The 25,012-nt window shown below is 52.9% G+C and overlaps 1 protein-coding gene and 1 long non-coding RNA gene across 3 annotated transcripts in view, besides 10 other annotated features; one reads left to right on the forward strand and one right to left on the reverse strand.

Annotated features, from left to right (window-relative positions):
* Window positions 134–985: an enhancer, noted in NCBI's record as "H3K4me1 hESC enhancer chr1:46982609-46983460 (GRCh37/hg19 assembly coordinates)". NCBI's record gives its function as "activates a minimal SCP1, AML or CMV promoter by ChIP-STARR-seq in primed H9 embryonic stem cells {active_cell/tissue: H9 hESC(primed)}" and the evidence as "EXISTENCE:reporter gene assay evidence [ECO:0000049][PMID:30033119]".
* Window positions 5,373–6,445: a transcriptional cis regulatory region, noted in NCBI's record as "candidate enhancer chr1.5850 targeted for multiplex CRISPR interference". NCBI's record gives its function as "positively regulates DMBX1 gene expression with high confidence in K562 cells {active_cell/tissue: K562}" and the evidence as "EXISTENCE:mutant phenotype evidence [ECO:0000015][PMID:30612741]".
* Window positions 5,373–7,319: a biological region, named in NCBI's record as "H3K4me1 hESC enhancers GRCh37_chr1:46987892-46988843 and GRCh37_chr1:46988844-46989794". NCBI's record gives its function as "regulatory_interactions: DMBX1".
* Window positions 5,417–6,368: an enhancer, noted in NCBI's record as "H3K4me1 hESC enhancer chr1:46987892-46988843 (GRCh37/hg19 assembly coordinates)". NCBI's record gives its function as "activates a minimal SCP1, AML or CMV promoter by ChIP-STARR-seq in naive H9 embryonic stem cells {active_cell/tissue: H9 hESC(naive)}" and the evidence as "EXISTENCE:reporter gene assay evidence [ECO:0000049][PMID:30033119]".
* Window positions 6,369–7,319: an enhancer, noted in NCBI's record as "H3K4me1 hESC enhancer chr1:46988844-46989794 (GRCh37/hg19 assembly coordinates)". NCBI's record gives its function as "activates a minimal SCP1, AML or CMV promoter by ChIP-STARR-seq in naive H9 embryonic stem cells {active_cell/tissue: H9 hESC(naive)}" and the evidence as "EXISTENCE:reporter gene assay evidence [ECO:0000049][PMID:30033119]".
* Window positions 7,320–8,270: an enhancer, noted in NCBI's record as "H3K4me1 hESC enhancer chr1:46989795-46990745 (GRCh37/hg19 assembly coordinates)". NCBI's record gives its function as "activates a minimal SCP1, AML or CMV promoter by ChIP-STARR-seq in naive H9 embryonic stem cells {active_cell/tissue: H9 hESC(naive)}" and the evidence as "EXISTENCE:reporter gene assay evidence [ECO:0000049][PMID:30033119]".
* Window positions 8,271–9,220: an enhancer, noted in NCBI's record as "NANOG-H3K4me1 hESC enhancer chr1:46990746-46991695 (GRCh37/hg19 assembly coordinates)". NCBI's record gives its function as "activates a minimal SCP1, AML or CMV promoter by ChIP-STARR-seq in naive H9 embryonic stem cells {active_cell/tissue: H9 hESC(naive)}" and the evidence as "EXISTENCE:reporter gene assay evidence [ECO:0000049][PMID:30033119]".
* Window positions 15,363–18,712, reverse strand: TMEM275 (transmembrane protein 275). Of its 2 annotated transcripts, NM_001396071.1 has the most exons (4): window positions 18,308–18,712; window positions 17,652–17,780; window positions 17,136–17,238; window positions 15,363–16,847 (listed from the first exon to the last, which is right to left on the reverse strand). In NM_001396071.1, exon 4 carries the CDS (start codon window positions 16,722–16,724, stop codon window positions 16,191–16,193), a length of 534 nt encoding a protein of 177 aa, NP_001383000.1. In that variant the 5' UTR covers window positions 16,725–16,847; window positions 17,136–17,238; window positions 17,652–17,780; window positions 18,308–18,712; the 3' UTR covers window positions 15,363–16,190. The 2 variants fall into 2 exon arrangements, with proteins under 2 accessions (NP_001383000.1, NP_001343992.1); NM_001357063.3 differs by lacking the exon at window positions 17,652–17,780 and having other exon boundaries at window positions 18,673–18,712.
* Window positions 16,177–16,376: a silencer, noted in NCBI's record as "silent region_846". NCBI's record gives its function as "represses an Ori minimal core promoter by ATAC-STARR-seq in GM12878 lymphoblastoid cells {active_cell/tissue: GM12878}" and the evidence as "EXISTENCE:reporter gene assay evidence [ECO:0000049][PMID:35858748]".
* Window positions 16,507–16,596: a silencer, noted in NCBI's record as "silent region_847". NCBI's record gives its function as "represses an Ori minimal core promoter by ATAC-STARR-seq in GM12878 lymphoblastoid cells {active_cell/tissue: GM12878}" and the evidence as "EXISTENCE:reporter gene assay evidence [ECO:0000049][PMID:35858748]".
* Window positions 19,239–19,335: a transcriptional cis regulatory region, noted in NCBI's record as "candidate enhancer chr1.5857 targeted for multiplex CRISPR interference". NCBI's record gives its function as "positively regulates RAD54L gene expression with high confidence in K562 cells {active_cell/tissue: K562}" and the evidence as "EXISTENCE:mutant phenotype evidence [ECO:0000015][PMID:30612741]".
* Window positions 21,893–25,012, forward strand: part of MKNK1-AS1 (MKNK1 antisense RNA 1) — a 31,560-nt gene continuing 28,440 nt past the window's right edge. The window contains exons 1-2 of the long non-coding RNA NR_038403.1: window positions 21,893–21,991; window positions 24,127–24,206. This is a non-coding gene — a long non-coding RNA (MKNK1 antisense RNA 1). The remainder of the gene's footprint in view (window positions 21,992–24,126; window positions 24,207–25,012) is intronic.

Below are 25,012 nucleotides of genomic sequence, written 5' to 3' on the forward strand. Positions count from 1 at the left end.
CTGAGAACCTGTGCTATGAATTCCTAAGTGTCTGCTTGCATCTGTGTGTGTACGAGCACATTCACGATGAGCAGGAGAGACAGCGCGAGATAGACGGCAAGACCGTACATATAGGCAATAAGTGCAGAAAAAATGCACAGCCAGGAAGTTCTTGCTGTGAAACCCTGGTCCCTCCAGCTGCATTTCAAGAAAAAGAAGACAAGAGATCTCTGCTCAGTCCTGGCTGCTTTGGCTCCACCTTCTTCCCCGGTGCTCCAGAGTGCCGGCGCAGGGCCAAGAGCCAGAAGAGGTGGTGCATGCACCTGGCTGAGGTTTAGGGGAGGTGACAGTCTCCTCTGTCTGCGGATTTCCTGGTAGGAGAACCCAGCAGACCTGAATGTATGCAGGCAGCTGTCTGCTAGGCTTCCCAGGGGCGGGCCCTGACCTCCCCACTTCCCAGGTCCACCCCAGGAGACGCATTCCTCTCTCCCCAGCGGGCTGAGGATTAGGGCGGGGAGCGTCTCCCTTTCACCTTGTCCCCTGCCTCCCTGGGAGGGGCTGAGAGATCAAATATCTGCCTCAAATCTCCCACTGCTCCCTCCCCTGGCCTGAGCCATTGACTGCCTCCTACGTACTTCAGCCCCAAGGGACACACCTTCCCTGGCATAAAGGGTACCCTGGTAACACTGCAGTTCAAATCACTCATGCACTCAGCATACACAGAGCACCTGCTGTATGCCTATGCCTGTGCTGGGAGCTGGCTACATAGAAACAAGTAAGGAAAACACTACAACACAGGGTGATATGGTGTTCAAAAAATGGAGACCTTGGGATGGGCACAGTGGCTCACGCCTGTAATCCCAGCATTTTGGGAGGCCAAGGTGGGCAGATCACCTGAGGTCAGGAGTTCGAGACCAGCCTGGCCAACATGGCAAAACCCTGTCTTTACTAAAAATAACAAATATTAGCCAGGTGTGGTGGCGTGTGCCTGTAATCCCAGCTATTCAGCTACTCGGGAGGCTGAGGCACAAGAACTGCTTGAACCTGGGAGGCGGAGGTTGCAATGAGCCACGGCACTACTGCACTCCAGCCTGGGCGACAGAGCGAGCCTCTGTCTCAAAACAAAAAACAAAAAACAAACAAAAAAAAGGATACCTGTGGGAGCACAGAAGAGGACCCCTAGCTCAGTCTAGGGAGATCAGAAAGGCCCCTTGGGAGGGAGACTTTTGACCTGAGTCTCATGGGTCCAGTGTTCACCAGGAAGTCAAAGAGAAGGGTGCCCTGGGAGAGGCATAGCTCATAGAAAGCTGCAGGATTGAGCCAGCTTGCCAAAGCCCTGAGCCCTGAAAGAACAAGGGACTTGTCTGGGTGGGGCTTGAGGATGGTGGGGGTGGTGCCAGCCAGTGAGGATGAGGAGGGAAACAAGGACCTTGGACTGAAGCCCAAGGGCCAAGGGTGTGGGAGGCACTGGAAGCTATTCCCAGTGAGGGAGTGGGGTGATCTATGCGTATTTTAGTAACCCCCACTTTCGCTGCATGGTGGCTCATGAGAAGGAGGTGGGGGCAGGAGATCAGAGAGGAGGCCAGTATCTGTCACGTCCTGGTGAGAGGAGGGTGGCATCCATCTGGACTGGGGGAGGGAGTGCAGAGCAGGGGTCTGATTGATGAGAGATTTCGGAAGGAAAATTGTTGTGGTGATTTTAAGCAGGATGGGGAGGGTCAAGGGTACTTTCAAGTCTCTGGCCAGGCAATAGGGTAGATGGAGACCCCTACTCTGTTGGAGTGGAGTGAGTGTCCGAAAATGATCCTGAGCTCAGGGTAGTCTTGTTTGCTGCATTTGAGGAGACTTCTATTTATTCAAGGGAAGATGTAGGGTCTGTCTCTGCTGCTGACACAGACTTTCTCTGTGCCTGGCACCTTACACGTAAGAAGCCACTTGGCTGGGCATGGTGGCCCACTCCTGTAATCCCAGCACTTTGGGAGGCCGAGGCGGGCATATCATGAGGTCAGGAGTTCAAGACCAGCCTGGCCAATAGGGTGAAACCCTGACTCTACTAAAAATACAAAAGTTAGCCGGGCGTGGTGGTAGGCACCTGTATTCACAGCTACTCAGGAGGCTGAGGCAGAAGAATTGCTTGAACCCGGGAGGCAGAGATTGCAGTGAGCTGAGATTGCAGCACTGCACTCCAGCCTGGGCAACAGAGTGAGACTCTGTCTCAAAAAATAATTAATAATAATAATAATAAATAAAAGAAGTCACTTAATCCTTACACAACTCTATGAGGTAGGTACTATTACTATCCTCATTTACAGATGGGAAAACTGAGGTACAGAGTGGTTAAATAACTTGCTGAGGGGCCACATAGCTAGTCATGGGCCAACCAAGGGATGAACCTGGCTGGCCTCAGAATCCATGCTCTTAGCCTTGATGGTTGTCACAGGGAGATGGTGAATGAAGCCACGTTGCTAAATGAGATTACAGAGAGAGAAGCAGAGGATGGGACCTCAGGGAAACGCTGACCACAAAGAGAAGAAGAAGCTACTGGTGGAGCCAGGATGAGCTAAGCCTGGCTTGCTGTTTACTGAGGGCAAATAACTATCCCTCTCTGGTCTGCAGTTTCCTATTCTGTTGAATAGGAATCTTTAACCAGGTCCAGCCTGCTTCCTGGGTGACTCAGAGGAGGTAAAAAGGAGAAGGCACTGGGGAGGCTGAGAAGCTGAGCAGTTCTAGGCCCAGCATGCCGTTGGTGCTCAGATAGCCCATGGTGGGGGAAATGGGAAAGGTAGGGGGCTCCCCGAAGCTTCTCTCCAAATTCCCCATGTTCTCTCTTTCTTTTTTTTGAGATGGAGTTTTGCTCTTGTTGCCCAGGCTGGAGTGCAATGGTGCGGTCTTGGCTCACTGCAACCTCCACCTCCCGGGTTCAAGGGATTCTCCTGCCTCAGCCTCCCCAGTTGCTGGGACTACAGGCGCTGACCACCACTCCTGGCTAATTTTTTGTATTTTTAGTAGAGACGGGTTTCACCATGTTGGCCAGGCTGGTCTCAGACTCTTGACCTCAGGTGATCCACCTGCCTTTGCTTCCCAAAGTGCTGGGATTACAGGCGTGAGCCACCGCCTGGCTGAGCCATGGCGCCCGGTAGTTCCCCCTTCTCTTAGGCCTTGGCCAATGTTCTTGCAGCTCAGGGGTCTGGTTCCTTAGGGGCCCTCAGGGAAGGGGCCCCTGCTGAGAGGGTCTGGGGAATGGACCCCTTTAGGGCTGGGCACTTCCCTCATCTCTTTCCCACAGAGCTGCTCTGGGCTGGAGCCCTCCACCCCCATCACTCATTCTCCTTTAGCTTCTGGGAAAGCCGATTAGGAGGTGGCCTTCTACCCGCCCCCCTGACAAGTGTGTCTGAACTTCCAACAAAGGCCCTCAGAGGGTTGCAGAGGGAGGGCTCAGCACTGGGAACCTGACACCACTGGCCAGGGATCACCCCAGCAGCCTAGGAGGCAGCTCTGTGGGGCTGCCCACCCCACGGCAGGCAGGAATGTCGCTCTGAGAGGGGACCTGGTCCCACAAAGGCCTGGGGGCTGGGCTGAGGCAGGCTGGAGAGGTCTTCACCTGGGAGGCCTCACAATAAGGAAGACAGCAAGGGCCAGCACCCAGGAAGGCACGTGGGAATAGGCATACACGCCCCCACACACTGACAGCCTCTCACACACATTCCCCATACATTCACAGCACACACGCACACACGCATCCTCTCACACCCCTGGGACATGTTGACTTCTGCACTGGACCACACAATCCCAGGGTGTCTGTCTCCCTGTCTCTCATGCCTGTGTACACAGCCCCACTGCAAACCGGCAGACACACAGCCACGCTCTGTCGCCTGATGCTCCACACACCCGCTCCACCCCCAGACATGCATTCTTCCCGGCTTGCTCACACTCCAGACAGCCCCTGAATGCTCAGTGGCACCAGCTCCCCTGTACAGACAGCCTCTCGAGCCAAACTGCTGGCCTGGTGCCCACAGAGACTTGGTGGCGGCTGCCCTGTGATTGTGGAAGATGCCACCCAAATGCCCACATAAGAGTCAGACACTGGTCCCAGCTGCCATGTGAACACCCATGTGCACCAACCCACACATCCACCCCAAGGGGCTGCCTTGAGCCCACCTCTTCACAGCATGCTCCCTCCTGCAGCAGCCTCATGGGCGTGTGACCCATGCAGTCACACAGGGCCCTGGGCTCAGAGGGCCCGCAATGTTCTGATGTCACCATCTTGAAATCTTTACATTTTAAGCAAGGGGCCCTGCATTTTCATTTTGCCCTGGACCCCATAAAATATATAGCTGGTCTCACTCCCACCCCATTTCTATTTATTTATGTATTTATTTGAGACAGAGTTTTGCATTTGTTGCCCAGGCTGGAATGAAATGGTGTGATCTTAGCTCACTGCAACCTCTGCCTCCTAGGTTCAAGCAATTCTCCTGCCTCAGCCTCCCAAGCAGCTGGGATTACAGGCGCCTGCCACCACACCTGGCTAATTTTTTTGTATTTTTAGTAGAGACAGGGGGTTTCACTATGTTGGCCAGGCTGGTCTCGAACTCCTGACCTCAGGTGATCCGCCTGCCTCAGCCTCCCCAAGTGCAGGGATTACAGGTGTAAGCCACAGTGCCCAGCCCACCCCATCTCTTTCAGCTAAGTCACTGGCCCTTCTGTGGCTTCAGAAACCCAAGGCCTCCAGAAAGCCCTCTGCTTCTCCCACCTGCCCAAGGGCCACCACTTCCTCTTCCAGCCACGGTTTCCTTCTCCACCCCATTCCTCATCAGGCAACTGAGTGTGAGGGGTGGAGGGAACTACCAAGAGCATCCTATACACACCTCCTCCTAGTGTCACCTTGGGGCTCAGTATTCTCCTTGGTAAAGTGGGGCGAATGATAATGCCTACTTCAGGGTTCTTTGTTAGGAATAAAAGATAACATCTGTAAAACACTTAGCACAATTTTGGCATTTAGTAAATGCTCAATACTTGCTTGTTTTTTTTTTTTAAATTTGTTTTTACTTTTATTATTTGAGATGAGGTCTCACTGTTATGCCCAAGCTGGTCTCTAGCTCCTGAGCTCAAGTGATCCACCCACCTTGGCCTCCCAAAGTGCTGGGATTACAGGCATGAGCCACGACGCCCGGCCAATACTTGCTTGTTATTATTGCACTTATTACATTATGATAAGTGCCACTAAACAAAAGTAGACTCAGTTCCTGGCCCTATATATAGTCTAATGGATAAAATGGAGATTACTCAAATAATCACACATATATCCACGTAAAGGAGCAGGGGTGAATGAGAAGTGCACACGTCTCTGACCTCGAAGGGCTTACGGCTAACAGGAGGGGCAATCTGAGGCTAGATTCAGGATCAATCTAGGGCAAGACACAGCTCGATTAGAGGTCAGAGTTGGAGCTCAGAATGGGCCATGGCAGGACTCAGTTTGGGGCAGGGCCGGCTCAGTCTGTGACTGGTGCCAAGTCAGTCACAGTTTCATTTCTAGCACTGACTCACTGTGGACTATTTAATAAGCTGCTAGGCTTCTGGGAACCTCTGTTTCATCATCTGTAAAATGGGGAGGTCTCTGTCTACCCCCAGGCTTGTGGGAGTTGAGTGCGGTAATAATGGAAGTGAAGGATTAAGCTTCTGTTGCCACCACTAATGACTCCAAGCCCGGCCCCCTGGGGCTCTCCTCCCCCAGCTCCTTCCAGGCCGGGGAGGCTGCGTGGCCCTCACCCATGTCTCCCGCTGCGGGAAACTGCCACCTCAGCCTGGGATCCTTTCCAAGAAGAGTCTGGAGATTTCACAAAGACCTCTGAACAACAAAAGTTGCAGAAGCGATATTTCCTCCTGGGGTTGACCGCCCCGTGGCTCCTTTATCTTGGCAGCCAGGCTTGAAGAGCTGTTCTTGGAAAGAGCCTGTGTGGGCGTGTGTGGGTGCACGTGGGTGTGAGTGTGTGTACAAGCTGCTCTTTGTTGTTGGTCTCATCTAAGCGGGACGATAGACCCGCAGGCCTGGGTCCTTCCCAGGTCACCCTGCCCATCTCCTGGCCTCTGCACAGCATGTGCTGGGCAGCCAGGAGGGAGGGAACACATTCTTTTTTACCTTAGGATTCTCCTGAAGAGAACTCCAGAACACAGGAGCCCCAGTGCTTCAGGAAGAATCCAGGGTACCTGAGGCAGAAGCTTCACGACAGGGGGCTGAGGCGGAAACTTGACGACACGGGAGATTAAGGGGAGGTAAAGGCAGGTGCTCATCGGCCCGCCCCTCGCTGTCTCCTTAGCATGCACAGCCCCTGTGGAGGCAGGGCCCGCGAGACGTCTGAAAGGTTCACCTCCTTCAGGTTTACCTTCAGTCTGCCCTCGGTAAGCTGCCTAGAAAGGACCGCGCAGCCTGCAAGCCCCAGCCTGCCTCTTGGACTGTGGGCTATTGGAAAAGCCCTTCTCTGGGCCTCAGTCCCTATTCATTTTTTTAAAGACAGGGTCTCACTCTGTCACCCAGGCTGAAATGCAGTGGTATGATCACAGCTCACTGCAGCCTCACCTTCCTGGGCTCAAGCCATCCTTCCACTTCAGCCTCCCAAGCAGCTGGGACTACAGGTACACATCACCATGCCCAGCTAATTTTTGTATTTTTTGACAGAGGTGGGGTTTCACCATGTTGCCCAGGCTGGCCTTGAACTCTTGAGCTCAAGTGATCCGCCAGCCTTGGTCTCCCAAAGTGCTGGGATTACAGGTGTGAGCCACCATGCCCAGCCCTCTGTCCCTATTTTTTTTTTAAGTGGGGCTTTGGACAACTTCTGAGCCTGATTTAAGCGCCCCACCCTGCTGGGTTGGGTGGAAGCCATAGATACATAGAAGAATAACTGAAAAAGCAGTCATTCTTCTGTCTGCCTTGTTACCTCCCTCTCCCACACTCCAGCCACCAGGGGCCTGCAGAGCCCAGGAGGATGGACAAGGTGTGGGGGAGAGGTCGCCTACTAAAGAGCCAGGCCTGTTGAAGTCTGGCCATTTCTGCTTCAGTTTCTCAGAATAGACATTCTCACCGGTCTCTAGTTCGGCTTCCATCCGGGGAGGAATCACTGATACCCAGCTCCTATCCACAAGCCTGAAGGGGTGGGCAGCTCACTACCTTCCAGGGCAGCCTACGCCAGGGCTGTTGGAAAGTTCTTCTTCATGTTGTCTGAAATCTGCCACCCAGTAGCCTCCTTATCAGGCCTGGCTTGGCCTGGGAGCCACACAGAACATGTCTATTCATGCTGTTGTGGAGTGTGTCACCCAGCTGGCGTGGCACCTCACACACTCACCGTGCCCTCTCCCCGGATACCTCTGCTCTGCCGGTCCCTCCTCCTGGGGACAGGCTTCACTCTTCAGAGCCCAGCCACATGCCACCTGCTCCAGGAAGACTTGCCAGATTATCACAGGGGAGGGAGATGCCCCTCCTCCTCTTGATGCCTCTGACCACTATATACAGTTCTCAACCACTGCCAGATGGGGCTCCCTGGGCAGAAGCTGGCATGGCATACAGCCTGGTATGGAGTTTGTGTTCAACCAGTACTGAACTTGTTAAATTAACTGGGAAGAGCATGTGAGGGACAAGCTCTGCTGAGGACCTCAGGGAACCAGGCTTCTGTCTGGGCCCTGCCATGGCTTTGCAGTACACTTGGGCAAGCCCTGGCTTTTTCTGGGCCTCTGTCTCCTGTGTAGAGGTTGGTCAGGGTGGTCCATACAGGTGCCTTTCTCAGGCAGCCTTGGTTTCCAAGAGTCTTGCTGGGTTTTGTCTTCCATGTGATATCATCCTGTGTCCTCAATTGTTCCATTCAGAGCTTCTTCCCATGCTGGGTCCTCCTGGCTGGGGGTGCAGATGGGGCTTAGAGGTCATCAGAGGGCAAAGGCACAGCAGCCTGGGGCAGTGGAGTGAGCGGATCTCCTGGGACAGCACCCAAGGACAGGTGGACCCTCTGTCCTTGCAGGCCTTCTCACTTTTCCTGCCTGCCTCCCTCATGCCATCTTTAAGAGATGAGGCTAGGTCCAAGGCAGCGGCCATGCCACAGCCTCCTGTCTCTTCCAGAGGACATGGCTCTGTCCTGGCACAGTCTCCTAGTTCTCGGCATCAACATCCAGAGTTTAGGGACCATGTCCCAGTCTCTGTGAGGTGGATGGGAAGTCAACATTAGTTGACTGAGCACCACCTGCGTGGAAGATGCAGCCCCCCCCCCCCCATCACTGGGAATACAGTGCTGAGCAGGACAGCACCTGATGTGCGAGGGGGAAGACAGACAACAAATACATAAGCAATGGAATGTACCTTTGGCAGGCCGATTAAAGGTTATGAAGACACTGTGACCAGGAGTGAGGTGGGGGCTCAATGCATGGCTGGAGGAGACAGATGGAATGACTAGACCAAGAGTGAGGCCAAGATGACCAGGCAGTGCAACTGCCAGGTGGACAGATGTGAGGAAAGAGGCTGGCCCAGGCCCGGAGGCAGGACTGAAGGCTCCTGGGGGAAGGAATGGGGTGGGGAGGTGCGATCTATTACGCTGATGACTCTGGGCCCTAATCCTGTGCCAGGCCCGGCGGGTAATGTGTGTGTAGGGGGAGGGTAGCACCCCCGCTGGGGTGTAATTTCACGCTGAAGGGCCTGATGGGGCGTCCCAGGGACTGATCCTTTCTGGATCAGAAAACCCACTTCCCTTTGTCGCATGCATGGCGATTAGCACCTTAACCCTTTGTGGGCTGGCCCAGGGCCAGCCCTGCCCCATCTCACCTCCAGCCCCTTGGGATCTTAGCCCAGAGCCCTTTGCCTTCAATCCAGCCAACTCCCCAACCTGGTCTTGTCTGCAGGGTGCAGGGAGGGAGAAGCTGTTGACTGAGGAAAGCCAGGGGCTGGATTCTCAACTCCTGTCTGTGTCCCTGTTCCCTGGCACCCAGCTCCCCGAGGCCCTTGTGCCCCCAGAGAAGTGAGCTCACCATGCCATCTTTTCAGGTTCCTGTTACAGCTTGGATCAAGTCCAGTTGCCTTCAGCAAGCCTGGGATCTAGTCTAATCCACTGCCTCGTTTGGGGATACCCCAACTCACAGCCTTCCCACATCCGCTGTGATGGGGAGCTCACTACCTGCTGGCAACACAGCCAGTACCTTCCATTCCCACTAACCTCTCATGGGGAATGAACATTGACCCCAGGAGGCCAGGACCATACTTCCAGCAACATCTCAGAGACGTCCCTGGCCACTTTGTCCGACAGCAGCATTCCAGGACTGGGTAGGTCGTCACAGTCCCCTGCATCCATCCCCTCTTTTGCTCATGTACACTGATTCTTTTCAAAGATTCACCAGGAAGTTGTCTCAGCTTCTTTGGCTCCAATGATGTTGTCCCCTTCCCTTGGGGAAGTCCCCTTGGTCCTCCCAAGGCTAACTGCAATGCATCCCTGGGGCGGCTCCGGCAAGTTCTCCCCTCGGGAGCTCCCCTAGGGTGGGGGAGAAGGCAGGGACCAGGCTGGGCCTCCCCTAAGCTCCCTGGGTCTCTAAAACCCTAGCTCCATTAAAAGAAAGCCCCTAAATGTTATTTACACTTTGGAGTCTTAAAAACCATTAACAAAAGCCACTTAATTCAATTATCTTCCCGGCTGGCTCAGTTCTCAGCTCTGAGCGCCAGCCTCCCCTTGTTGCACCCCCACCCTGCCTGTCCCCCCACCACTGTCATTGTGTCGGGCTAATGAGGTAAACTGAAGCGAGCCCTGTCCCCCCTGACAGGTTTATGAGAATTTAATAAAGCGTGGCCGGGACCAAATGAGTTGCCTCAGCCTCGGAGAGCTCATTGTCTTTGGCGTCAGCGTTTTTTGACTCGAGCTGCCCCCATCCTCCGCCCCAGCTCCTCCCTGGCTCGGCCCCCACCCCCGCCCTTGGTGCCTCCCTAGGTGAGCCTGGAGGCCAGTGGGCCCTGCAGCGGGAGGGCACCCAGGCTGAACCCTGGGGATGGCAGAAATTAAGTTGGTCAGTGTGCCCTGGGGAGGGACTATGCTGTCCTTTGCCCTCACCTACCACACCTTCACAAGCTGCAGACTCCAGGAACATACTCGGGCCTCGGGGACTTCCCACACAACTGCCTCATGCTCCTATGTCTTGGCCGCTGTCAACCTGAGGCCCTGCTGGAGCCGCCTTGAGCCTGATTCACCTTTTCTCGCCTGTTTGGAGCAAGCAGCCAAAGTGAGCTCCCAGAGGGAGGGGCTTCTCTTCCGGCCAGGGCACAGGTTGGGGGCATGGGGCCTTCAGTCTGGCCTGGTTCCACCCCTTGCATGGAATGTCCCTCCTTATTTTCCTGGAAAGCTAGCAAGGGGTGGAGCACAGACCGTGGAGCAGAAGGGAGTCCGAAGTGCAGATGAAGAGGCTGCCAGTCGGGAGGCTCCCCAGATGGACAGGCAGGCAGAAGAGGCCCCGCCCCCACGGCTGTGGGGATACCTTGAGAAGGTACCCAGCTGCCCTTCTTCCCTCATGTCCTGGGCAACCTAGAACCAGCCTTTCTCTGCCTGGCCTCTTAGGGGTCCAAGGCCGAGGAGTTTCTGGACCATTTGGAGACCCAGAATTCCTTCTCTCCCCAACAAAAGTGTTTCCAGGAATTACTTCCTTCTGAGACTAAAGCTTGGCCTGACACAAGAGCCTCTTCTGGAAGGTCCTTAACTCATTGGGGTGTTGGAAGGCAAGTCTTAGGGATCAAGGCCAGTTTGTGACCATGATAAAAGCTCAGTTGTTGTCCAGGGTCAGGATTCAATGCATATGGATCAGGGTCAGAGTTCAGGTTGGCACCAGATTCAGGGTCAGGCTCAGTGATCAGAGTGAGAGTTCAGTGTATGGACCAGGGTCAGCGCTATCTGTTCCCAGGGTCAGGGCTCAGTCTATGGCCTGAATAAGGGCTAATGTGTGTCCATGATCAGTCTGCATGCAAGTCAGGTTCACTATATGGTAATTGTCAGGGTTTAGTTTATGGACTGGGGTCAGAGCTCAGTCTGGGATCAAGGTCAGTGTTTGATGAATGGACAGGCAGGGTCAGAGCTCAGAGTGTGACTAGGGTCAAGTTCAGTCTATGATTAAGGTCAGGACACAGTATGGACTGGGGTGAGGTTTCAGTCTAACATCAAGGTCAGGGTTTAGTCTATAAGCAGTCTCAGGACTTATCTGTGACCTTGATAAAGGCTAAGTTTCTGTCCAGGATCCAGGCTCTCTCTGTAATAAGGTCAGGTTCCAGGGTTGGATGAGTCACTTAGTAAATCTGAGTGACCTAACTCCCCCTCTTCCCCCATTTCTTAGGGCCTTGGACCTCAGAAGAGGAAAAGGCAAAATTGTGCAGTCTGGTTGGGCTGAGTGGTGTCTATCTCCTGCCATGTGCCCGGGGTGCCCTCTGGTGGCAGTCCCCAACAGTGCCGATTTCCTCAGGCTTGGTCCCTCCATCTGGCCATCTCCTGCTTTGGGGAGCCTGGCCCTCAGGCTGGTCCTTTGGCGCTGATCTAGTCAACCCTTCCTTCCCGTGCCATCCCACCTCCCCACAGAGAAATAGAAAACTGTGCAATTGGTTAGGGGAACTCTCAGACATATGAAATCTTCTCCCTTCCTGCCCAGAGTTAGGCATCTTGACAAACCCGTATTACTCGGGACCTGGAATCTCAGCTGTGCGATGAGATCCACACCTTTTCCTTCCTCCTTCAGTCCACAGGTGCTTATTGAGCACCTACCTTGTGCCAGGTGGGCACCGAAGGTACAGCTGTGAACAAGTCAGAATCTGGCCTCTTCGTGCTCACATTCCACTTCTCCCTAATCCCCCACTCCTAGTCCACAGTTCTCATCAGAAGGCTCCTGGCATCACAGAAGGCTGAGTGGGATTCAGAAGTCAGCAGCATGGGCTCCCTGCTCCCCCTGGAGTCTGCAGTTAGACTATTCTATCTTCCGGGTTCTCTGTCTTCCTGTCTCCTTGGAGTTTCACCACCACCCACATGCCGACAGCTTCTACGTCTCCATCCCAGCGCCTCCTCTTCCAGAACTCAGAGCTGTGGCTCCAGTTTCTGTGGGACAGTCCCTCTGGGCTAACAGGTCTTTTGCCTTACCAGGATGTCCCTTTTTTCCCAAATCCAGATCCTCCACCATACACCCTGGTGCTCAAACCAAAATTTTAGAACTTCCTCAGGATTCTTCTCTTTCATGCCCCCAAAACTCCCCCAAGAGGTGCAGAATCTGTCTACTCCAAGCAACCACCCTAGTCCCAGTGCCCATATGTCTCACTGCTGTGACCTCCTAGCCTGCCCCTCCTAGCCTTGCTTTCCCTCTTGCCCCTCGCCACTCTGTTACTTCCACACAGCAGGTGGAGCAGTCTTTACCATCATAAATCAGATCATGTCACTTCCCTGCTTAAAACCCTCCAGTGGGTCCCATCTCACCAAGAATCAAATCCCAACTCCTCACCCGGGCTTACTAAGCCCTCCATGAGCTAAGCAATACCCCCTCCCCGCCTCTCCAGCTTCATCTTCCATCTGTGTCTCAACAGCCTTTCTTTCTTGTTCTGACACACAGAGGCCAGTTCATTCTCACCTTAGGGCTTGGCACTGGCTGTTTCCTGAGCTTGAAATGTTCCTGCTCTAGACCTTTGCATGGCTGACTCACCATTCAGAGCCCAGCTTAAATGCCACCTCTTCAGAGAAAAACCCCCAACCATCCGACAAGTGCCTCTATCTATCACAACATCCTATTGTAATTTTCTGTGTAGTGCTGTTCACTAGCTAAGCTTTTTTGGTCTCATTTGCTCACTTATTTAATTCTTTATTGTCTGTCTCCTCCAAATAGAATGTGAGCTCCCTGAGAGCTTGTTCATCATTATATTCCCTCATAGCAGGGAACATAGCAGGGCTCAGGAATTCTTAAATTAATTAGTAAAAAAAAACGATTCTAAGGCTGGGCACAGTGGCTCACACTTATAATCCCAGCACTTTGGGAGGCCCAGGTGAGAGGACTGCTTGAGCCCAGGGGTTCAATATCAGCCTGGGCAACATAGTGAGACCCTGTCTCTACAAAAAATACAAAAAATTAGCCGGGCATGGTGGGGTGTGCTGGTAGTCCCAGCTACTTGGGAGGCTGAGGTGGGAAGATCACTTGAGCCTGGGAGGTTGAGGCTGCAGTGAGCTGTGATTGTGCCACTGCACACCAGCCTCGGCAACAGAGAGAGATCCTATCTCAAGATAATAATACAAAGAGGTTCTAAGTGGCTGCCCTCATTTCTCCTAGAGGGAGAAGCATGGGGGAAACCTCATTTCCCTTAATGAGCTGCCTTGTCCGGGCCAGCAGTAGTTTCCTTGGGGAGGCAGGGGCCACTCACCACGTGTAGCACCCTAAAGCCCCCCCGCCCCCAGGCCCTGGGGAGTACCCCTCCTTTAGAAGGACCAGCTCTGTGTCCTCTACCACAGTCCCTGTGCCTCTGAGGATAGGCCCTACTGCCTCAATTCTGAGGCTTTCAGGGCCTAGGGTGGGAGTGGAAGGTTTTACCCTCCTTCCAGGGCCGGTCTGCAGCATCCCTGCAGGAACTACTGGTCCCTGCTCAAATTCCCCAAGGTCAGGGAGCTTGATGCTTCTGTGCTGTCAGAATCATGTCCTCTCCTCAACAGAAACCTGCCTCCCAGAGGCCCTTTCAGGGCCTGAAGCCTGCCTGGGAGGGGCCTGCAGAGGTGTGAGACAGAGCACACCCTCCAGCCTCACCATGTGTAGGAGAGTGGGGCTTCCCTAGGGCCTCGCTGGCCATATTGCCCTAGAGGGGCCTGTCCCTGGGTGTCACCCAGGGAAGGGGTGTGAAGTGAGGAGTCCCCACGGTGGCAGACTGGAGCTGTTGGGAAGGTGAGCCCTGGGGCACTGGATCTGGAAAATCTCTTCTGGTGTGCCCGTGGAGGAAGCGGGGCAGAGAAAAGACAAATGATGACCTTCAGCTGGGGGTGTAAGTGGAAGGGACTCCAGGGAGCCAATGTCCCGCCTTCCCTGATCCATTCTACCCACACCATTGATCCATGTCCCACTGCCCTGAGTTTTTATCGTAGGCTCACTCTTCCTCTGCAGCAGCCAGGCTTGCAGAACAGGATCTGGAAGTCTTGTGGGGGAACAGGAAAGAGAATGTAATTCCAGGCATCTAACAGCAGGTGGGAGAGGGGTTCGGCTGAGCCTAGCATTGCAGGGCTAGAATCCTAAGGTGGTAGGAGAAGGGTGGTTCTGACCACACCCCAAGGCTGCATCAGCGGTGGCCCCTCTCACCTACTGCTCTACCACAGCAGCAGGTGGCATCTAAAGCTGCAGACCAATGCACCAGAAGAGACAGGACTGGAGCCTGGGGAAGTGGCCTTCCTTACACACATACAGGGTGGGGTTGGGGAGCTCAGAGAATAGGTCATCAGCTGTAGGTACTGGGAGCTTCAAAGGTTAAGGCCCATTGACACGTGCAAATTAATAGAGATGGCCTGCTCAGCACCTGCTCAGGCAGACTTGCTCTTCTCTAGGTCAGTGGGAGAGGAGACAGCAGGAGAGACAGAGGTGGAGATGGCGCCAGAGGAAGGAAGAGCCCAGGGCTGGTGGGAAGTGTCTGGGTCATGGCAGAGTAGTAGCAAAGCCTGTCTTGGAAACAGAAAGGGAGGCTGGTGATGAAGCCAGGAGTGGATGGGCAGGGAGTCATAGCCAGCCGGGGGCAGTGGGTCAGCATGTGCCCCAGTCACTGCTTGCCTAGGTACCTGCATGGAGACGAAGGGCTGGCCCAGAGTTGCAGTGTCTCCTCCTCAGTCCCCTGACCCCTTTTCTTTTTTGCAAGGCAGCCCCTATTCCTCTACTTGGCCCCCTCACCTACCCCCTCACCTGGACGAACCACAGGCCGGGCCCAAACTCGGCAAGTCCAGCTAGCTTGGGCAGTGTCTGGGCTTTGCACAGCCCCGTGGAGCACTTCTCCCCTCACCCTGCTCAGTGACCATGCCCTCAACCACTACTGCTGCCCTCACACCTCCACATGCATGTGTGATGTCAGACTGTTACCCAAACGCTGCCACTCCCCACCTCTTACAGGAGCCAGGCAATCACACCCACAGTCACACTCCTATGTTCATCCAGTCCCCCAATCTGACCCATCTGTTCCCACATTCATGGGCACACAGTCTTAGATACAGTCTTTTACTCATAGTCACACACTCCTCTCCCTTGAAGCCGCCTTCTAGGTCTCCAGGAGGGGCTGGTACCAGGATGCTCAGGCACTCAGCCACAGGCTGGGAGGGCCCCAGAACCCAGGGTGCTTAGCCAGAGGCCCCACAGCCACCCCTCCCTCCCGGCCTGCACTGTCACAGAGGACTGACTCCAAAGGTGCTTTATTGAGGAGTAAGGCACTGCAGGAATGCATGGTGTGCCACAGTCAGGGTGGGTGGGGGCCAGCATTGCTGGCAGTGAAAGTCACACTAGGACTTTCAGGGCTGCAGAAGCTCCCTCACCACTCACCTCTGTCAGGGCCCCAGTCTCAGCTACTCTTGCTCTTAGTCAGACAGAAAGGGTGGGGAGTGCTCACCCCGGCCCTAATTCTAGGGACCATCCTGGCCCAAGTCAGAGCCACGGCTTCTCAGCCAAATGAATCCCAAAGGTCATGTTGGGGTAGAAACAAGGAAGGTGGGGAGGGGCAGGAGAGGGGACTGGAAGCCTTTCACGGTGTGTGCAAGGACAGAGACAGCCCAGGCTGACATTCAACCCTTCTCCCTCTCTTCCTCCCACCTCACTGGGGGGACTGCTGGTGGTTAGCCCCTTCAGGGTGGGTGCTCCTTGGTTCACAGTGCCCAAATGCCAGGGGGAGGTGGCAGTGTCAGGGTTCCAGGGTCCAGGGGCCTACTTTCAGCAAGCTGGATGGGTAAGGTTTACTAGAGACCAGAGACCCTGTCTAAGGGGCCAAGGCTCTGCTGCTCCCTTCTTTGGGGTGTGACCCCTGACACCATCACCACATTCTACCCAGGAGTTTGGGAGATGGAAAAGATGAGGCCACCTGAGCCCAGCACCAGACCCTTGTAAAAAAGAAAGGAAGGAAGGAAGAAAAGGTTTTCTTTTTTCTTTTTCTTTTCTTTCTTTTCCCCCCTTAAATGGCACTGAAGGAAGGGGAATGAACCCGGACAGCGGAGTCACGGCGGGGCCCTGGTCCGCTAGGGGGCGGCGCGCGCCCGGGGTGGGTTGAGCTGGACTCCTTCCGAGCGCAGCGCGCAGACGGCCGCGGGCGCCGGGGCCTCCAGGGCGAGGGGGCTGGGGCCGGGGCTGGAGCAGCCGGAGGACGCGGCGGAGACGGCAGGGCTGAGCTGCACGGCCGTGGTGTCCTGTGCCGTGGGCTCGCTGCTCTCCATCTCCAGCGCCACGGGCCCGGCGCGGCCGCCACCCTGGCCCGGGCCCGCCGCGGCCGCCGAGCGCCCACGGGGCGCGAGGCCCCGGCGGCTACACACGCAGCAGGCCGCGAAGAAGCCGAGCGCCAGCACCAGCAGCGCCAGCCCCACGACGAGCAGCGCGTTGTGCTCGGGCAAGAAGGAGGCGAAGGCGCCTGCCAGCGTCACGTTCACGCCCGCCAGCAGCGCGCACAGACCGCAGGCGCAGCACAGCGCCGGCGACGGCAGGCCGGGCACCCGGCCCCGGGCGCGTTCCGCGGGCGCCGGGACCGGTGGCCCCTCGCTCTTTTCTGCCGGCGGCATCGGCCTGCGCACGCCAGGCACGCATCAAGCTCCCTCCTGCCGCCGGCCCGGAACAGCCCAACTGCCAGGAGCCTCCTCACGCTGGTCCTGTGGGCAACTGCCAGGAGCCTCCTCACGCTGGTCCTGTGGGCACACAGCAAGAGGGCGGCGTCAGCAGGGTATCTTGACCTCCAGTCCTAGGCTCCGTCTGTAGCTACACTGAGTGCCTGGGTGGGCAGAGGTCATCTTGGCCAGCCCCCTGCCTCTGCCTCTGGGAAGCAACAAACCATCCCATATGTGAAGAATCGACTTGTTTCCCCACCTAGTTCCGGGGGTCCCTCGTGGCCAATCTTGCCATCCTCCCTCTCTCCTCACTTTTTTGTCCTCCAAACAGACGCTGCCCCTCCAACCCCTCTCCTCCAGGAAGCCTACCTGAACTCATTTGAGTGAGATAGTGGCTGGAAAGTGCTCAGCACAGTGTCCAGTTCAGCTTAGGTGCTCATCACATGATAATCATCGTCTTCAGTAGTCCTAACTAGTAAGGCAAATGGCAGCTCTTGGGATTTAGGCAACTCACTCTCTCAAGTGGAAGAGGCCTTGGAAATCATCTGACCTTGCCCCCCACCCCCACCCCCTTATTCAGATGAAGAAACCGAGGCTCCCAGAGGTCTAGCAGTTTATCCAAGATCCAGAACCAGGACCCAAATGACCATGCCACTTGGCCTCAGTATCCCCACCCTAGACTCCGGTAGGCATAGCAATGACACTGACTCTCCTGAACATCAGATGAGGCCCTGGAGTGAGTGGCCACGTGAGAGTGAGGAGCTCCTGATGGTTCAGACGGTCAGTGAGAGGGCACAGTCCCCACATCGGCTGGCTTGGGCTGGAGCAGATCTAAAGCACCAGGGCCCTTTCTAGACTGGGCATTCTATTAAATTCCAATCCTACCTCCATTCCACTCCCCATTGTTTTACTGTTGAACCTGGATTCAAAAGCCTAATTGCTGGATGCTAGAATTCCTTTCTAGGATTCTCTAGATGTCTCTGGTTCTGGGATCTATCACTGGATTCTAGAATTCTGGAAATGCATGCAGAAACAAGAGTAATAAAATTAGAGTCTAGGGATTTATGATTTCTATTTGAGAATTCTGTTCTATAACGCATAAGATCATAGTTGGTACAAAGGCCCTCAAAGGACGAGATCTTAGCTAGTGAGCTGTGTTAGAATTGTGGGGAAAAAATGCCAGAAAAGGGTCCTGGATGGGGATGAAAGGGAAGTAATCAGATGGTACCGCGGGTCTGAGGGGAGCATGCAGGGTGAGGAGCAGTGAGTGAGTGTGACCTTCACAGGGGGCCTGACTCTCCTGCTTCCATCTTCTCTTCTGTAATGTGGGGCTAATCATAGAACCCACCTCATAGGGTACAGTGATAATTAAATACTTTAAGCTAAATAAAGCGCTTAGAACAGTGAGTATTTAATAAATGTTAACCATGCCCTTGTGGTGCTGGTTGACAGAGAAGGGAGTCATGAAGTCTCAAATCTGGGAGGTTGGTCATGTTGGTTTTGGAAACAGAAAAGTTGGGCTGTCTCCCAGGTGGAGGTACCTTTCTGAGTGTCCAAACCCTATACCCAGTGGAGATGGAGAAAGCTTGATGACTGAGTGAAAATGAAGGCTAGTGTCAGATCCTTCACTTGCAACACACAGGATGCGCAGGTCAGAGGACTTGAAAGGCCACCTCCAGGCCTGTCCAGAGCTGATGACTCCAGGGCTCCCTCTCCTGGCACCATGCTGAGAGGTGGCAGCCCTACTGAGACTCTAGCCAGAATCACCTTGTTGCCGTACCAAGCTGGCAGGAAGTCAGAAATCCCCAAATCTTAGCAAAGAAAGCACATGTTGACCCTTGAGGGCATCTACAGACCACAGATTCCTGAGGAAGCTCCTCATCTGCATGAACATTTGCTCTCTAACCTGCTGCTGATGGTCCTGCCAGGCAGGGATAGCAACCACTAAAAGGGTACAGCAGTTTACAGTTTGCAAAGCACTTTTACATCTATGACATCACAATCTACTACTGCTTGATGCCTATTAATAGCCATATTTTGGCTGGGCTTGGTGGCTCACACCTGTAATCCCAGCACTTTGGGAGGCTGAGGCAGGCAGATCACTTGAGCTTGGGAGTTTGTGACCAGCCTGGGCAACATGGCAAAACCCTGCATCTATTTATTTTTTTTTATGAATAAAAAAAATTAAAAAAAATGTTTTTAATAGCCACATTTTGCAACTGAGGAGACTGAGGCTCAGAGAGGGAAGTGGATTGGGGCTCTGGTGGCTGGACTAAAAGGAAGAATAGACATTCTGAGACCAGAGTCAGAAAACAGATGAGCTGGCTCACACCCCACACAATCTTGCTTAATTTTAAAGAGAAGGATTTGATCCTCGGAGGGGCTGTGAGATTCCCAAATCTTCCCCTTTCAAGCCTCTCCCCAACCTCATTCATCAACATCTGACATAATCTGAAAAAGGCAGGGGTTCCCTTCCTGTGGGGAGGGCTCAGTATGAGGGTGCCCCGATGGAGAGGAGGGAGTCTGGTTCACCTCACTTCACATCAGCCTCCTGGAAGCTGACACTGGATGAGGGTCAGGAAGGCCCTGCGGGCTGGAGAGTCCAGGGATCTTGCCTCTCCTTTTTTTTTTTTTTTTTTTTTGAGATAGAGTCTTGCACTGTCACTTGGGCTGGAGTGCAGTGGCGCAGTCTCAGCTTACTGCAACCTCCGACTCCTGGGTTCAAGTGATTCTCTTGCCTCAGCCTACTGAGTAGCTGGGATTACAGGCACCCAACACCATGCCCAGATAATTTTTTTTTTTTTTAGTAGAGACGGGGTTTCACCATGTTAGCCAGGCTGATCTCGAACTCCTGGCCTCGTGATCCACCTGCCTCAGCCTCCCAAAGTGCTGGGATTACAGGTGTGAGCCACTGCGCCCGGCCAAGATCTTGCTTCTTTTCCCATACGGGGAAGACTCTCCTTTGCCTTTAGGTTTTAGCAGTTTTACTGTGATGTGCCTAAGTGAGTTTTTCTTTGTATTTATCCTTCTTTGTAGATATTTGCTTTGTATGTATCCTTCCTGGTGCTTCTACAATCTGTGGCTGCATCATATCACCCCACAGTTCAGGAAACATGTCAGCTCTTATCTTTTCCCCATTCTCTTTCTCCTCTCCTTCTGGGACCTTCATTGCTTGTATGTTCAGCCATTTGCTATTGCCCCACATGTCTCTTTTACACTTTATTCTATATTTTCTAGGCTTTTCCTTCCTTCCTTCTGTTTCAGTCTGGATATTTTTCTACTGAAATATTTTTCTACTATCTAGTTTACTAATCCTATTTTCACATGTGTCTTTTCTGCTGCTAAATCCATCAACGGAGTTATTGATTTCATTTGTTATAACTTTTCAGTTCTGGAATTTCCACTAGATTCTTTTTCATAGATTCCAGTTTTCTATTGAAAGATTCCCTTGTTGTTAATTTTCTTGAACATATTAAACCTTCTAGAGTCCATATCTGAAAACTCCAACATCTGGATCTCCAGTGGGCTTGTTTCTATTGTCTGTTTTATTGCTCTTGTCTGTTTTATTGCTTTTGTTCATTTGGTCTTATCTCCTGAAATGCCAGATAATTTTTTATTGAATGTCCAACATTGTGTATAAAAACTTACAGAGCTAGCATGAGGCTCTGAATGATGCCATCTTTCTCCAGAGGGGATTTACTTTTGCTTCTGACAGGCACTTAAAGGAGGACAGGCCACTTTAACCCAATCGAGGATTATACTGATTGGAAACTTTGTTCCAGTCTTCCTGAGTCTAGTCTATATCTGGTTAGCCATTATTCCTAGAGTGTTTCTTTGGTCTTCCCAATAAAAACTGTTCCCTTTTTAGTCCCCAAATTCAAATTTGACTCCCCAGTCTCATGACCACTGCCTCCTACAAACTGGAAAATGCCTTTAGGGAAAAATCAAAATCTAGTATTACTTCTCTCCACAATCTTGGCCCCCTCAAGTCCTCAGTGCCTTCGTAGCTCTCCCATGCCTTTAAACAGATTTCTTAAATGCTTAATCCAGCTTTTAAAGTTATCCTCAGCAGGTAAATTGGTCTGATAGAAGCTAGTCTACTTTAGCCAGAAACAGAAGTCTAGATGATAATCTGAAATTAGCACAATTAGATCTACAACTAAGTTATGCTATGCTAAGCACTTATAATAATATCCAATTTAATTTTTACAACATAAGATTAAGTATTACTTTTACATCTCCATTTTACAGATGAGGAAACTGAGACAGAAAAAGATTAAGTAAACTCATCCCAAACCGCTCAATTGCAGTGTGGTGCCAGGATTTGAAATCTGGTGTACTGATCCAAAGCCTGAGCTCTCAACCTAGCACAGTGCTAGATTTGCTAAATGTTTGTTGAATGACTGAGGCACAGGGCACAGGCTCTTCTGAGGCCCTGTAGATAAGCTCCTGTAATTAGAACTTACACTGCTCAAACGTCAACCACAGAGGAAGACAGGTTTTCTCTGGTTCAAGGAAGGTAAAAATCACTTTGCTTCTTCCTTGGTTTAGCAAACTAGGTTCAACAGAAAATAATTCCAGCCCAGGGGCTGAGCTTCTAAGTGCTAATTGCTAATGAATGATTGATTCTTATCTGCTCCTGGGAGGCAGAGTGACTATAAGACAAAAGGACCTCTGCCCTGGGCACAAAAAGGACTAAGAACATGTGGGTGTTGGGCTTATTCCCGAGGTTGCCCTCCGCCCTGGTTAATTGGGATCTGGGAGTGTGCAGGGGTGAGGTGTTGAGGCTGCTCAGCTGTTGTAATTCAATTTGCACCACCATTTCATCTGGTGGACTGTGGCCTCCTGTGGCTGCTGTTGCAGTGTTGGTTCTATTTTGTTGTGGGTGTTCTGGCTAGCTCTGTTGTGGGGTGTCCTTGGCACTGTTCACTAAATCTTTCTGGTTTTCCACTCTACTGAGCACAGGTTAAGATTGTACTTTCTGGCTAATTTGTGATTAGGTGGCACTGTGTGACGTTCTGGCCAGGGAATTGTGACACGTGCCACTTCCAGGCTGGCCTATTGGATTATGGAAGCAGGACTCTGAGTTGATGCTATTGCTCTCCCCAGTCCTCTAAGCCCCTTCTATTTCATTCCAAGTCCAGCCTTCAACCCCAGTGCCTGAGCAGGAGGGAGGGACATTGCTCTGACTCTTGAGTTGCGAGGACTGGAAGACCTTCACTTTAGTGAGTACTCCAAGCTGCTGAGCCCATGGAGATCATCTAGTTCAATCCCTAAATCTTCAGAAGTGGGAAACTGAAGCTTGGAGTAGAGGAGGGCTAGGGCCAAGCCAGACCAGAACCAGGCCCTTTCCCAACCAGCCAGGGCTCTGAACACTGCCATTCAGCTGCCCATGACCCTGGCCAAGCAATTCACCCTCCCTGCTGCCCTGCCTCTGGTTAGGGAGGCCTCATGGTCTCTGCATGGGGAGTCCAGTCCACAAGCAGTTTGGGGGAGGAGCAGACACTGGTTGGGCAGCCTGGGAGAGCTGGGGTCCCTCTCTGGGCCTTTGTTGTCTGAATGTGAAGGGAGGGGTATAATGAGGTTATTGTCCCCAAACTGAGGTCCCTCATCAATCAATCTGCTGCCCCACCCTCAACTACTTGAGGTTTGTAAAGGTGGAAATGAGGACCTGTTTAGAAATTACTGTCAGTGTATCAAAAGGTCTCATAAAATGGCACATTTACATATATGTATACATATATGTATATATGGCACATTTATGTATAGGTATACATATAAATGTATATGGCTGTACCTGCTCATTGTACCAGATTATTTGCTTTAGGCTGGGATTCCGTTATTTCCCTGGGAAATCAGCTGCTGCACAGGGGTTCTTGTTGAGGGGGAGGGGCACTCATATTGAGCAGCAACTCTCTGCTAGGCACTTTCCCTACATTAGCACATTTAACCTTCACTACAACCCTGTGAGCTGTTGCAGTCCTGCCCCCAGTTCACAGTGAGGACACCGAGGCTAAAGAGGTGAAGGGACTTACTCTGGTTTACTCAGCTGCAATAGGGAAAGCTGGGATTCAAACCCAGTTTTGTCAGATTGAAAAGCTCATGTTTTTGGCTCATTAGAATTGCTGTTTACTGAAAGGTACAGAGATGTTTGCTTATTTAAAAAATTTGGGCTCAAGGGGGTGGTCCTAAGTAGGTGAAGGCAAGAGCTCCTGGAGAGGGAGTCTCTGTCTGAAGTCCCTTCAGGTCAGCAGGTCAGCCTGCACCCCCCTCTGCCCCCAACCCATGGTTCTGGGATGTTTGTGTTGCACAAGAGCAGTTGCTTGACTAGAGGTAGCTGCCAGGCCTCTTGGCTCCAGATTCCTGGTCCAAAGGCCCAAGAACCTCTGGGCGTGGGGGCTTCAGTCCAGACATCAGCCAGGGGCCCCAGCCCCCTGTCCTCCATGGGAGGCTGAGCCCCTCACTTGCTCAGTCTGAGCTCTTTACCGCTCACTATGAACTCCTCTGTTCCTTTTAGTCTTAGCCCTTCTGTTCCCTCTCAGTCCCTGGAAATCTGGGCCAGCCCTCTTCCCAGCACCCGCATCCTCAGGAACCTCCCACATCACTCTTACTCATCGCCGGCTGGGGCTTATTCACTACCTTGGGAGCTCTCAGCTTCTGCCAACTGAATTCTGCATACCCAGAGCCCAAAGAGCTACCATCACCCTCACCCTAGCCAATCCATGGGCCTGTCCTCACCATAGACACAGGCATATATACATGCATACTCACACATGTGTCCATGTGCGTGTGCGCGTGCGCGCGCGCGCGCACACACACACACACACACACACACACACACACACACACACACACACACAGTCTCCAAGCTGGAAACAAGGTTTGAGGATGAAGCCTGAAGGCATGGCTTTCCAGCTCCTGTGTCTGATTCCTGGGATCTATCATCTTCCTCTCTGAGCCCATGTGCATGCACGAACACACACACACAGACACACACGCAGTGACCGGACATATCCAGAAATACAAACACAGATGCATAGATGCATTGCACACAGACAGTTGCAGACACAGGCCAACATATCACACACTGTCAGTTGCCTGCCTATCTGGTGGAGATGAGCTGCTGCCCTGGAGACTTCTCCTTGCCTGGAAGTGTGATGGTGGAGGGAAGGTGCTTGAGAGCAGGAGCCCCTGGGAGAGGTGATGGGTGAACAGGAATTCCATTCTGGCTTCTCTGATGGTGCCTCCCCATTCACAAGGGGTCTCCATGCTGGCAAAAGGCAAGCACTCACCATTCCCGTCACTGGGGCTCAGCTTTGCCATTGGTAAAGTGTGAGATTGATCTAGATGGTCTTTGCAGGCCCTGCAAGCTCTGGCTTCCAGCACAGCTGAGAGGCCCCAGTGGCACAAGACTCCGAAGGCTTCTTTGAGCGATCACAGGTCTGTGTTGGTTAGACCAAGCCTTTGTAACAATCCAGGCAAAGATGCTCCCTTCCAGTCCTTCCTGGTGCTCTCGCACTTCCCCAACAGAATCCTCAGGCCACAGTCCCCAGCAGGGGTTATATAGGTGGCCAGACTGGGATCTCTAACCTCAATCTGGGCCTCTGCGTCTACCCTAAGCAACTCAGCTGCCTGGATCCAGCCGGAGGGGTGGAGAGAGAGGACTTCAGACTGGCAGGAGTGGAACTGCCCTTCCTGTCTGTCTCCTTCCCTCCAAGGCTCTGGAACTAGCTCCACTTTCCTCTCCAGCCTGAGGAACTTCAGCATCTTTTGCCCAACGACCCAACCCCTCTGGCCTCTTAGTTTCTTGACTTCTCATCTCCAATGCTCAATTCCTTCATTCCACCTCAGCTACACTTCCTCATACCTCATTACCTTCAGGACTTTACCACCCTTGTCATCACCCTGAGCCATTCCACCTCTGAGAAACTCTGACACCCTACTCTCGACTGTAACTCCACTGCTACCTCTGTACAAACACGGGTACAGCACAAACACTGTTCTAAGCCATATATGTATACTTTTTTTTTTTTTTTGAGATGGAGTCTTGCTCTGTTGCCGAGACTGGAGTGCAGTGGTGCAGTCGGCCCACTGCAACCTCCGCCTCCAGGTTCAAGCGATTCTCCTGCCTCAGCCTCCTGGAGTACCTGGGACTACAGGTGCGCACCTGGCTAATTTTTGTATTTTTAATAGAGACGGGGTTTCACCATGTTGGCCAGGATGGTCTCAATCTCCTGACCTCATGA

This window comes from Homo sapiens, chromosome 1, assembly GCF_000001405.40.
Source record: "Homo sapiens chromosome 1, GRCh38.p14 Primary Assembly".
NCBI lineage: Eukaryota > Metazoa > Chordata > Mammalia > Primates > Hominidae > Homo > Homo sapiens.